This window comes from Homo sapiens, chromosome 16 (genome assembly GCF_000001405.40).
Source record: "Homo sapiens chromosome 16, GRCh38.p14 Primary Assembly".
NCBI lineage: Eukaryota > Metazoa > Chordata > Mammalia > Primates > Hominidae > Homo > Homo sapiens.
The window spans coordinates 84110140-84121901 of record NC_000016.10 but is presented as its reverse complement, the minus strand read 5'-3'; the positions used below and the strand labels follow the sequence as shown (position 1 = coordinate 84121901).

The 11762-nt window shown below is 48.1% G+C and overlaps 1 protein-coding gene, 1 long non-coding RNA gene and 1 pseudogene across 3 annotated transcripts in view, besides 3 other annotated features; 1 reads left to right on the top strand and 2 right to left on the bottom strand.

The window, feature by feature from the left end:
* LOC648774 (polo like kinase 1 pseudogene) lies at window positions 1466-2685 on the bottom strand (annotated as a pseudogene).
* MBTPS1-DT (MBTPS1 divergent transcript) lies at window positions 2739-4859 on the bottom strand. The gene has a single exon (NR_186375.1). It is a non-coding gene; the product is annotated as an MBTPS1 divergent transcript (long non-coding RNA).
* Window positions 4230-4389: an enhancer, noted in NCBI's record as "active region_11232". NCBI's record gives its function as "activates an Ori minimal core promoter by ATAC-STARR-seq in GM12878 lymphoblastoid cells {active_cell/tissue: GM12878}" and the evidence as "EXISTENCE:reporter gene assay evidence [ECO:0000049][PMID:35858748]".
* Window positions 4540-4639: a silencer, noted in NCBI's record as "silent region_7777". NCBI's record gives its function as "represses an Ori minimal core promoter by ATAC-STARR-seq in GM12878 lymphoblastoid cells {active_cell/tissue: GM12878}" and the evidence as "EXISTENCE:reporter gene assay evidence [ECO:0000049][PMID:35858748]".
* The window catches only part of MBTPS1 (membrane bound transcription factor peptidase, site 1), a 63180-nt gene continuing 56377 nt past the window's right edge, over window positions 4960-11762 (top strand). The window contains exon 1 of one of the 2 annotated variants that reach the window (NM_003791.4): window positions 4960-5167. The gene's annotated coding sequence lies outside the window, so the exon portion shown is untranslated. Of the gene's footprint in view, window positions 5866-11762 lie in introns of both variants that reach the window. The other variant, XM_047434831.1, reaches the window with a different exon arrangement.
* Window positions 5040-5469: a silencer, noted in NCBI's record as "silent region_7776". NCBI's record gives its function as "represses an Ori minimal core promoter by ATAC-STARR-seq in GM12878 lymphoblastoid cells {active_cell/tissue: GM12878}" and the evidence as "EXISTENCE:reporter gene assay evidence [ECO:0000049][PMID:35858748]".

The window sequence follows — 11762 nt, the reverse complement described above, 5'->3', positions numbered from 1 at the left end:
GAGACTTTCCTGTGTTTTCCTATCCTCAATTACTTAAAATCTAATCACATTTGGGAACCAGAGGGTTAGATGGTTATGTCCTCAAAACCTATTCCAGTCAATTTATGTCTCAGTCTCAGTATTGGCTTATGTGTTATTTATCTTTTTAAAAATTCATATATGTTTAATGAGTATAAAGCCAAGCACAGGACAGTCGTGAATTCAGTAGAAATATTCTCTGTTATTCCTGGCCGCGTGCAGTGGCTCACGCCTGTAATACCAGCACTTTGTGAAGCCGAGGCGGGCGGATCATGAGGTCAGGAGTTTGAGACCAGCCTGACCAACGTAGTGAAACCCCGTCTCTACTAAAAATACTAAAATTAGCCGGGCGTGGTGGCGCGCCCCTGTAATGCCCGTTGCTCAGGAGGCTGAGGCAGGAAAATCACTTGAACCCGGGAGGCGGAAGTTGCAGTGAGCTGAGATCGCACCACGACACTCCAGCCTGGGAGACAGAGCAAAACTTTGTCACAAAAGAAAAAAAAAAAAATATTCTGTGTAATTCCTATGGTGAGACTGAAAGGGAAGGGAGGCAGCTCTAGAACCCACTCTGGAACGTGCACAAATAGAACTTCCACTTCCACAGCAAGCCCCCCTGCGAGGGCGATGTGCTCTGGCCAGCCCCGCACAGCGCCACTGTTGAGGGCGGGATGATGGTGCTGCAGGCATGGAGACAGGTGCTCCCGGGGGAGGGGGTGGGCAGGCTCATGGCCTTCCCGTGGCGTGACGTTGACACCCTTCTTCAGTAAGTGTTTGCTCAGGTGGTTGTGGAAATACTTAGGGGGGTGACCTCCATCAGTGAGTTGGATGGGAACACACAGTGGGGCAGGACTTGTGTCATCATGCTTTGTGGACAGTAGTTTCCGCTTATCCACAGTTTTGTTTTCTGAGGTTTCAGTTACCTATGATCAATCGAGGTCCGAAAATATTCAATGGAAAATTCCATAAATAAACAGTTAATAAGTTTTAAATTGCACACAGTTCTGAGGAGTGTGATGACATCTCGCACCATCCCACTCCCTCCTGCCTGGGATTGGAATTCTCCCCATGTCCACAGCTTCTGTTCAGGTAACCCTTATTTTACTTCGTAATGTCCCCAAAGCCCAAGAGTAGTGATGCTGGCACTATGGATATACCAAGAAGCTGTAAAGTGCTCTTTTAAGTGAAAAGGTAAAACTTCTCCACTTAATAAGGAAAGAAAAACATTGTATGCTGAAGTTGCTGAGATCTGCAGTAAAACAAATCTCTCCATGACATTGGAAAGAAGGAAAAAGAAATTCATGCTAGTTTTGCTGTCACACCTCAAACTGCCAAAGTTCCAGCCACGGTGAGTCCCAAGACCATCCACCGGAGGTCTTGGAACATGTCCCCTCGGATAAGGGAGCACTACCGTAGGCACTGCAGGCTGTCACGGTGTTGTCGAGGATAAGGCATGTGTGACACTGTTGTCACACAGCTGATACCCTAGGCTGTGCTTGTTGGAACAGTTTACCTGCTCACTGACCCAGAAGCTGGGGATGCAGGTGGCATCCTCAGCCTCCTCTTGCCTCACCAGCCCGTGCTGTGTAGCTGCTGCAGCATGTCACCACAGTGGCATTGACCGTCTGTCCCATTCCCTAAGCCACTGGTTCCTCTTTTTCCTGGGGCTGCTCAGGCAGGGGTTCTCCATGCCTTGAGGATCACAAGAAGCTTGCAGTTGCCAGGGTCCAGGCTGTTGGCAGGGATTGAGAACCTCAGTGCGATGGGAGGCAGATGATGGGGAGATGGGAGGGGCTGGAGCCAGATGTGAAAAACCCGTTATTCAGCAGCTTCTCAGGGGTTTGGGAGTGCTGTCGGATTTGAAGTATCTTCTGGATGAGGGAGGTGGCCATTGGGTAGCTGTGCTTGGGAACAGTGTGTGTGTTCTTGACCAGAGGTAGGTCTCTTAGACAAGAGGTTTCAGAAGGTGGTTTGCCCACTAACAAGGTATATGTGATGTACCCAAGGGACCACACATCCACCTTGAAACGGTGCCCTTTCTTTCCCAGCACCCTGGGAGTTACATAATCAGGAGTCCCACCCAGGGTCTTCCTCTGCCTTCCATCATGTTCGACTTTGGTTGCCAGTCCAGATCTTCCCGTTTTCACCTCCAGGTCATCATTCAGGAAGAGGGGGTACAGCTTGAGGTCCCGGTGACTAATCCAGTTTCAGGCAGGTGCCGGCAGCCAAGGATGATCTACTGCGGGCAGTAGTGCCCTCAGGCTTAGCGCTCTCCCCGTGTGCAACTCCATGAGAGGTCTCAGGTGGCAGAGCTCCAGCACCAGGAGCATGAAGTTGTCCTTGAAAAAGCCACTGACACCTGAGATGTGCTGGTGGGCGAGGCTGCAGTGAGTATAGCGAGAGGCTGGAGACGTCTCCAGGGACGTCTCCTCTGGGTGCGGATTGAGCAGCAGTGACTCAGGTGCGATCTTGCCCGAGAACACCTCCTTGGTGTTTGCCTCCAAGATTTTGATGCTCTCAGCAAAGCCACCCTTGCCAAAAAAGCAGCCTGCCTGTAGTGCCACCGGCAGGTTTACTAGGACCTCCAAGATCTCTGCAGAGTGGCTGCTGGGACTCCAGGAGCCACAACTCCAGGGAGGCTTTCCCAGGGTTGGCTAGTGCCTGTGCCATCAGCTATTACTCTTTAAAATAACATTTCATTTGAATAAAGATTTACCTTCCCATGGAATTACAGATGCTTTATTCTGTATGTGAAGCACAAGTTTAGGAAGTTATTTTAGAACCAGAGTGGTGGGAATCCACCAGTGGTAGACCAGGATCCTGTAGCTCAGGCTGTCTTGGTAGCTCTCCAAGTAACTTCTCTCCCACACACCAGTCCCCTCAGTGTATAGGCATTCTCTGAAACTGGTGGTGGTGGCATTCTCTCCCCTTCTTTGGGGCCTCGCTGTCACATGATGGATGCCTGCAATCACTGTTCTACCCCAGTTTCCAGCTGTAGGGCCATGTATTCAATGGCATAGTGACTAAAGGGCTGTTCAGAGAACCCTGACCAAGATTAATTTACCTAAAGTTGGAACAGAAGGACATAGTCAAGTTTAAAATCAAATGCTTTGTGTGGTGGCAGAAGGGAGTGCCTTTGACGGTTTGCAAATGCAGAGAGGCAAGGATTCTCCAAAAGTTCAGAAAATCGTATGAGATCTGAGTCAGGAAAGGATTCAAGAATCCACCACCACATATTGAATCATATAGGAGCCGAGCACTTTATGAGTATGCTTTTTGTTTGTTTTTGAGACAAGGTCTTGCTGTGTTGCCCAGGCTGGAGTGCAGTGGCACAATCATGGCTCACTGCAGCCTCGACCTCCTGGGCTCAGGCAGTCCTCCCACCTCAGCCTCCCTAGTAGCTGGGACTGCAGGTGCACACCACCACACCTGGTAAAAACAAAACCAAACACAACTATAGAGACATGTCTCTGTTGCCCAGACTAGTCTCAAACTCCTGGGCTCAAGTGATCCTCCCGCCACAGACTCCCAAAGTGTTGAGATTACAGGCATAAGCCACTGCGCTAGGGCTTATGTGTGTACTTAATTTAACCCTCATCCTTTAAGGTAGATATTAGTACCCCTATTTTTTAAAAAAATTATTTATTTATTTTTAAGGCAGAGTCTCGCTCTGTCGCCCAAGCTGGAGTGCAGTGGTACGATCTCAGCTCACTGCAACCTCCGCCTCCCAGGTTCAAGCGATTCTCTGCCTCAGCCTCCTGAGTTGCTGGGATTACAGTCATGCGCTACCACACTCAGCTAAGTTTTTATATTTTTGGTAGAGCCGGCGTTTCACCCATGTTGACCAGGCTGGTCTGAAACTTCTGACCTCAAGTGATCCGGCTGCCTCGGCCTCCCCAAGTGCTGGGATTACAGGCGCGAGCCACCCCGCCTGGCTAGTACCCCTATTTTTGTAATGAAGAAGCTGAGGTACAAAGAGGTTAAACAACCTGCTCAAAATTACGAAGTAGAAGCCTGAGGTGGGGTATGGTAATTTGTGATTCTACATTTATCCACCATATTAAGTCAACTGTGTTAAATCATGTTGAAGGAAGATGATGCGCTGTGATCTGTAATATTGGTGCAGTTCAGCATTACCGTGGTGCAGTGTCAAGTTCCAAAAGACACAAAACTGTCTGATCGGCCTGTAGCGCATCACCGCCCACCAGCAGTACCTGAAGACGCTTTCAGTCCCCTGCTAGTGCCGTACGGAGTCCGGGCTGGTCCATTTACATTGAAAACAAACTGATCCTAGCATCTAAGTCACCCAGACATCTTTTAGGCGGCAAGCTTTTCAGACAGTTTAACACATTTATTCTTGTTTTTTCAAAAAGAGCAAACACGTGGCGTTACAAAGGTCCTCCGTTTCGCACGCACCGGTGTCCCGGCAGCGCGCTGCGCGTCGGGAGGCCCAGTCTGTCGTCCCGTGGGGCCGGGGGTCAGGAGGTCGGGCAGGCGGGATTTGGGGTTTCGCGTGTTCCGGACCGGACACTTCGCCATCTTAACGAGCTACCGCCCGGGTTAAGGGGCACCCAGGGCAGGTGCCCGGCCGGGGGTGGGGTGTCCGAGCCGCCGGTGCCTGGACGTGGACCCCTGCAGGAAGGGTCCGCGCGGGAAGCGAGCTCTCCACGAGTCCATGACAGCAGGCCCGCGGGGGCAGGGAGCCTGCGCCAGGCAGTCTTTCTAGATCCTGGCCCAGCCTGGCCGCTTTCGCGCCCGTGCTCCTTTTCGGGGATCCTAGAGCGACGCGCAGAGCGGACCAAGGGTTCCCCCAGCGCGTTCTCGCCGCCTGGCAGCTCGCTGGCCACGCCCCTCCGCTTCCACCCTGCCACCGGCCCCCGCCGCCGCAAATGTCGCGAGACCTTCGTCCATCCTCCCGGCGTGGTCCCGCTGCCCACGGCGTCCAGAGCGCGCACGCAAGCCCCGGGAGCGCGGGACAGACAGGGCACGCTGGGTCGGCGGAGCTGAGGCTCCCAGCTGTGGGCCTCGCTGGCCCGGTCGCCCAGTCTCGCGAGAGTTGGGAGTAAACAGCCCCGAATGGAGTGCCCAGGCGTGTTCGCCGCGGAGGCGCCGTTATCCCGGGCCCGCCGGCCCTGAGCTCCCGGCGGCGCAGGTACGTCAGCCGCCCGCGCGCGGCCTCCCCGACCCGCTCCGCCTAGCGGCGGCGGCCCGCTCGCTCAGGTGTGCCGGTTGCGTCCGAGGCCCCGAGGCGAGGGCTGCGGGGGCCGGGCCGGGTCGGGGGAGGTGGGCGCGGGGCCTCCGGCGCTTGTTTGGACACAGCGTGCCTGTACCGCGGCCCTGCGGGGGTCTGCGCGCTCCGGCAGCTTGTTCCGTTGCCTGGTTTTCTTTACGTGAAATGAGCATTCACCGAGTGAAACAATACGCCCTGCTCTGGCCCGGAGCCTCCAGACAGACTCAATTCTAGGTGCGCTTCCGGGGCAGTGCTGGCGTCAGGTTTAAAAGACGTCGATTCTTTGCCTTATCTCGGTCTGTGCATATTGCGCTGCTGGTTTTTGGAAATGCGGGGATTCTGTTCGGCGAACTCTCAGAACCAGATTGCCTTTTAAACCTGTAGCTTCTTAAAAATCTTGCCTCGCCTTGGCATGGTTGCGCTACCTAAGACCGTTGTGGATCGTCAGTATTTTTATTAAGATGTTTACCTTTCATATTGGGTTGAGCCCCTGAGAATCTTGGCCTATTTGTCTACACAAATTAAGTTATTAGATTCTGATTGACACTTCGAAATTACGTGGAGTGGAATACGACCTGCGTTGAATTCTGGAGACTCATCCTTTAGTCTGAACTGTGTAGGTAAGCCCTCCTAACGTCAAGGTCTCCAATTGTATGTCTACGAAAAGGAGGGCTTGCAGAAGAGAAGTAATTCCTCTCATTTTTTTTTTTTTCAATCTGGAGAATCCGCTTTTATTATTTATACTTATTTTTTAATGTAAGAGCTTCATTGAAGTAGAATTTACATACCATAAAATCCACCTGTTTTAAGTGTACTATTCAGTGGTTTTTAGTAAATTTACAGCAGCACAGCCACTACCAAATCCACTTTTAGAACATTTCCGTTACCCCAAGACCTCTGATGCCCAGTTGTAGTCAATGCCCATTTCCAGGCCCCGCCACAGGCAACCTTTCATCTACTTTGTCTTTCTAGATTTGCCTTTAATGACTATTTCGTATATTCAGATGGAAACATATGATATGCGGCCTTTTGTGTCAGGCTTCTTTCACTTAGCATGTTTTCACAGTTCATCCATGTTGTAGCATGAATCAGGATTTCATTCCTTTTATGACCAAATAATATTCAGTTGTATGGCTATACCACATTTTGTTTAAGCATTTATGCAGAACACTTTTGACAAATAAAAGTTTATTTTATGCTCTAATGTGTGATGCGGATGACAGCAAAACTGTTGATTGAGAATGGGAGCTGGGACCTGACCCAGACACGTGTCAAACGACTGCACTCCCCAGGCACCCCGTATAATCAAGAGTTGGTCCTTTCTATATAAAAAGGGAAAATTCCAATGCAGAGCTTGCGGAACCTTTGAAGCACCTAGGGAAGAAGTGGGAGCTCTTCTAGTCAGGAGGTTAACAAGAACTAGGAAGGCTGGGCCGGGCGCGGTGGCTCACGCCTGTAATCCCACAATTTGGGAGGCCGAGGCGGGCGGATCACAAGGTCAGGTGTTCAAGACCAGCCTGGCCAACGTGGTGAAATCCCGTCTCTACTGAAAATACAAAAATTAGCTGGGCGCAATGGCAGGCGCCTGTAATCCCAGCTACTCGGGAGGCTGAGGCAGGAGAATCCCTTGAACCCAGGCGGCAGAGGTTGTAGTGAGCCAAGATCACGCCGCTGCATTCCAGCCTGGGCGACAGAGTGAGACTATGTCTCAAAAAACAAAAAACAAAAAAAAACTTGGAAGACTGAAGGCTAAGGTGAACTGTACATTGCTGCCATCAGTGCTGCGGAATTCTGCTTGAGGAAACGCTTTATTTATTTTTATTTTTTTGAGACAGAGTCTCGCTCTGTCGCCCAGGCTGGAGTGCAGTGGTGGATCTCGGCTCACTGCAACTTCTGCCTCCCGGGTTCAAGCGATTCTCCTGCCTCAGCCTCCCGAGTAGCCGGGACTGCAGGTGCCCGCCACCACACCCGGCTAATTTTTGTATTTTTAGTAGAGACGGGTTTTTACCATGTTGGTCAGGCTGGTTTCAGACTCCTTGACCTCATGATCCGCCCGCGTCGGCCTCCCAAAGTGCTGGGATTACAGGCGTGAGCTACCGCGCCCAGCTGAGGAAAGGCATTTTAAAGTAAAATAAGGAAGTTAGAAGTTTGGAGGTGCCCTATGTGTGGCCAGCTAATACTGCATGACTAAGGGGTAAGAATAAAAGGAGACAAGAGTGATGTGTGTGAAACAGTAGGCAGTGAAGACACCACAGACCAAGGTTTCTCACTCTTGACTGTAGTGATACATTGGGATGAATTTTTTTTCTTTTTAATACAAGACCACCTGATGGATGGAGTGTGCCAGAATAAATGGTTGCATCGGATGTAAGAATACACCCGAATACACCTTTGTCGACCGGGCGTGATGGCTCACGCCTGTAATCCCAGCACTTTGGGAGGCCGAGGCGGGCAGATCACGAGGTCAGGAGATTGAGACCATCCTGGCTAACACAGTGAAACCCCGTCTCTAAAATACAAAAAAATTAGCCGGGCGTGGTGGCATGCGCCTGTAGTCCCAGCTACTTGGGAGGCTGAGGCAGGAGAATCGCTTGAACCCCGGAGGCAGAGGTTGCAGTGAGCTGAGATCGCGCCATTGCACTCCACCCTGGCGGCAGAGCGAGACTCCGTCTCAAAAAAAGAAAAAAAAAAAAAAAAAAAAGGGAAGACACCTTTGTTTTACCATAGTTTGGTCTGGCATGACTTAATTGTTAGCCTGTTAAACAATGGTAATATAGCCAAGTATGCAATTAGTTCTGAAGGTGGTAGTTTTTCAGCCGACTTTTAATTGGACTGGATAGTAACCTTTCGTGGTCTAAACACAATTCAGTCTCCTTTGGAGCTATTTTAGTAAACTAGTTTATTACAAAGCAAGGCATAGCTGCATAATTAGATGATTGTCGGGTGATACAAGTCATTTTCACTCACCTAAATTATGTTCTAATTATTTTTAAAGAGATAATTTCAGATGTATTTTAGTTATGCCCAGAATTATAATCTTTGTGATATTCTTTTATTGTGAAAATTGTAAGTGGGAGACTCCAAGAGCTGCAAAGAATGCTAGCCACCAGCTAGGCCAGTTGCTTGCGCAAGTAATACATTTCTTCTACTGAGTCTCCCTTCTACTCAAATCCCATTAAATACTATTTTCTATTTCTATAATTTGAACGGTGTCTTTTTCAGTTAGTACTTGATGTCAAAAATTTTTAATTATACGTGTATTAGAGGTGTAATCATTCTCATGAAAAACCCATAGGTACGGGAATACCATCTTTGAACGTTATGCCTTTATATGGAAAGATAACCAGGTCTTCTGCATAAAGAATTTATAGAAATTAAATCCAGTTAACATTTAGTGGATACAGTAACAGCCCTAAGTAGGCTCTCTAAGTTAAGTGATATTACAAATGATAATAAGCCTTTCAGAATGAACTAGCCAAAAGTTTAATATTTTCAAAGGCTATCTTTTCCTTAGGCTGGCAAGTAGCTGTAGACAGATCTTTGAGAACAATTTGTAGGAGATAGATCCCTTTTAAGCTCTAGTATATATACAAATAAAATTAAATCTAGCATATATATTTGAATTTTTGTGCCACTCTCTTACCAGAAAGTATGATTTATTCTTTTTTTTTTTTTTTTTTTTGAGATGGCATCTCGCTCTGTCTCCCAGGCTGGAGTGCAGTGGCTTGATCTCAGCTCACTGCAACCTCTGTCTCCCAGGTTCAAGCGATTCTCCCACCTCAACCTCCTGAGTAGCTGGGATTACAGGTGTGTGCCACCACACCCAGCTAATTTTTGTATTTTTAGTAGAGATGGGGTTTCACCATGTTGGCCAGGCTGGTCTTGAACTCCTGACCTCGGGTGATCTGCCCGTCTCGGCCTCCCACAGTGCTGGGGTTATAGCTGTGAGCCACCGAGCCCGGCGTATTCTTTTTTTGTTTTTTTTTGTTTTTTTTGAGACCGAGTCTCGCTCTGTTGCCCGGGCTGGAGTGCAGTGGCGTGATCTCAGCTCCCTGGAAGCTCCGCCTCCCAGATTCACGCCATTCTCATGTCTCAGCCTCCTGAGTATCTGGGACTACAGGAGCCCACCACCACGCCCAGCTAATTTTTTTTGTATTTTTTAGTGGAAACGGGGTTTCAGTGTGTTAGCCAGGATGGTCTCGATCTCCTGACCTCATGATCCGCCTGCCTCGGCCTCCCAAAGTGCCGGGATTACAGGAGTGAACCAATTTATTTGAAAAGTTTTTAAAAATACTAAAATATGTTTTATCTAAGTATAAAAGTAACATATGCTCCCTATAAACAAATAAATTAAAGCAGAAATTAACTATCTGTAATCATACAATTGAAAGGTAGAACCACTGTAACCATTTTGGTATGTGTCTTTCAGTGGTTTTTTTTGTTGTCATTGTTTCCATTTGAGACAGTCTCTCCATTGCCCAGGCTGGAATGCAGTGGCTTTATCTCCGCCCACTGCAACCTCCACCTCCTTGGTTCAAGCGATTCTCCTGCCTCAGCCTCCTGAGTAGCTGGGATTACAGGCATGTGTCACCATGCACAGCTAATTTTTTGTATTTTTAGTAGAGACAGGGTTTTGCTATGTTGGCCAGGCTGGTCTTGAACTCCTGGCCTCAAGTGATCCGCCTGCCTTGGCTTCCCAAAGTGCTGGGATTACAGGAATGAGCCACCGCACCCAGCTGCATTTTTTTTTTTTTTTGCTCATAGACACATTTTAAAATTGAAATGTAAAAATTTGGATTATGTGGTGCATGAACTGTTTTACTTAACATTTCATTAGCATTTCCCCATATTTCTATTGTAACAAATGACCACAAACAGTGGCCTAGAACAACATGAATTTACTGTCTCACAGTTCTGGATATCAGAAGTCCAGAATCCGCCTCACTGAGCTCAAGTCAAAGTTTCAGCAGGGTTGTCTCCGTCTGGAGGCTCTGTGGAGAGAATCAGTTTCCTTTTGTTTTTCAGTTTCTACAGGCCACCTGCGTTCCTTGGCTCCTGACTTCTTCCTCAAATTATCTCAACCTCTTGATTGCTTTCTTTTTTCTTTTTTTTTTTTGAGATGGAGTCTCTCTCTGTTGCCCAGGCTGGAGTGCAGTGGCACAGTCTTGGCTCACTGCAACCTCTGCCTCCCGGGTTCAAGTGATTCTCCTGCCTCAGCCTTCCGGGTAGCTAGGATTACAGGCACCCACCACCATTACCTAGCTAATTTTTGTATTTTTTGTAGAGACGGGGTTTCACCATGTTGGCCAGGCTGGTCTCGAACGCCTGACCTCAGGTGATCTGCCCGACTTGGCCTCCCACAGTGCTGGGATTACAGGCGTGAGCCACTGTGCCCAGCCAGCCTGTTGCTTTCATCATCACATCTATTACTACCTGTTGTCATCTCCTGCCTCTCTCTTATAGACACCCTTGTGATGACACCTGGCCCACCTGGATCACCGAGGATACTGTCTCAGTGCCTTCATTTAGTCACAGCTGCAAAGTCCCTTTGGCCTGTATGCTTTTGTGTGTAAAGTAACATTCCCAGGTTCTAGGAATGAGGATGTGAGCATCTTTGTGGGGACCATTTTTCAGCCTACTGCAGGAGGAGCATTTGAAATTGCTGCGTGGCGTTCTGTGGTGTGCACCGACCATAATTATTGAGCCAGTCTCCTTGTTTATGCACATTCAGATGGTCTCCAGCTTTTCCTGCTCATAATCTTGCAGTGTGTATCTTTGGACATAAAGCCTTATGTGCTTCCAGATTCATACTTCTTGGATTGAATCCCTAGGGGAGATTTTAGGAAAGCAGGCGACCTGCCTCTGAAGAGTGTGGCCTCTGGAGCCAGGCTGACCACCTGAGTTCTCAGCCCAGCTGTTCTACTTGCTGGTGTTGTGGCCCCAGGCAAGTTGCTTAGCTACTCTGGGTCTCAGTTCTCATCTGAAAGTGGGGGTAGTAACGGGTTGTTGGGAGGATTAAATTAGTTAATATTTGCAGACTACTTAGAATGGCACCTGCTACATCATAAATGCTCAGTGAGTGTTTTTCTTATTTTGGATTTGTTAGACGAAAAGTTTTTAATGTTCATTTTTAAGCGTTTTAATACATATGTGAAAATTGCCATTCTAAAAGGTTGTTTTTTTTTAATATTCACCAGCAACATATGAGAGTACTTATTTTATTGGATTTGTTAACTTAATAAACATAATTTTTATTCTAGAGGGGGTGCCTCAGGTTTTTCTGTCAAAATGTTACTTGATTTGTTTAATGTAAATCATAGAAACACAGGTTAATGTTAGCAGAAATTTACCATGAATCCTTTCAGGAATTCTGTCAATTTCCTAGAATGAGATATGCTTTTAGTTTCCCTTTAACTAGCTCAGTCCCATCTTTGGATGTCCTTCTACGTAACAATTGATGAGTGTAAATCTGTCTGACGTGTGTGGTCTGGTTATGTATGCAGTGATCAGCACTGAC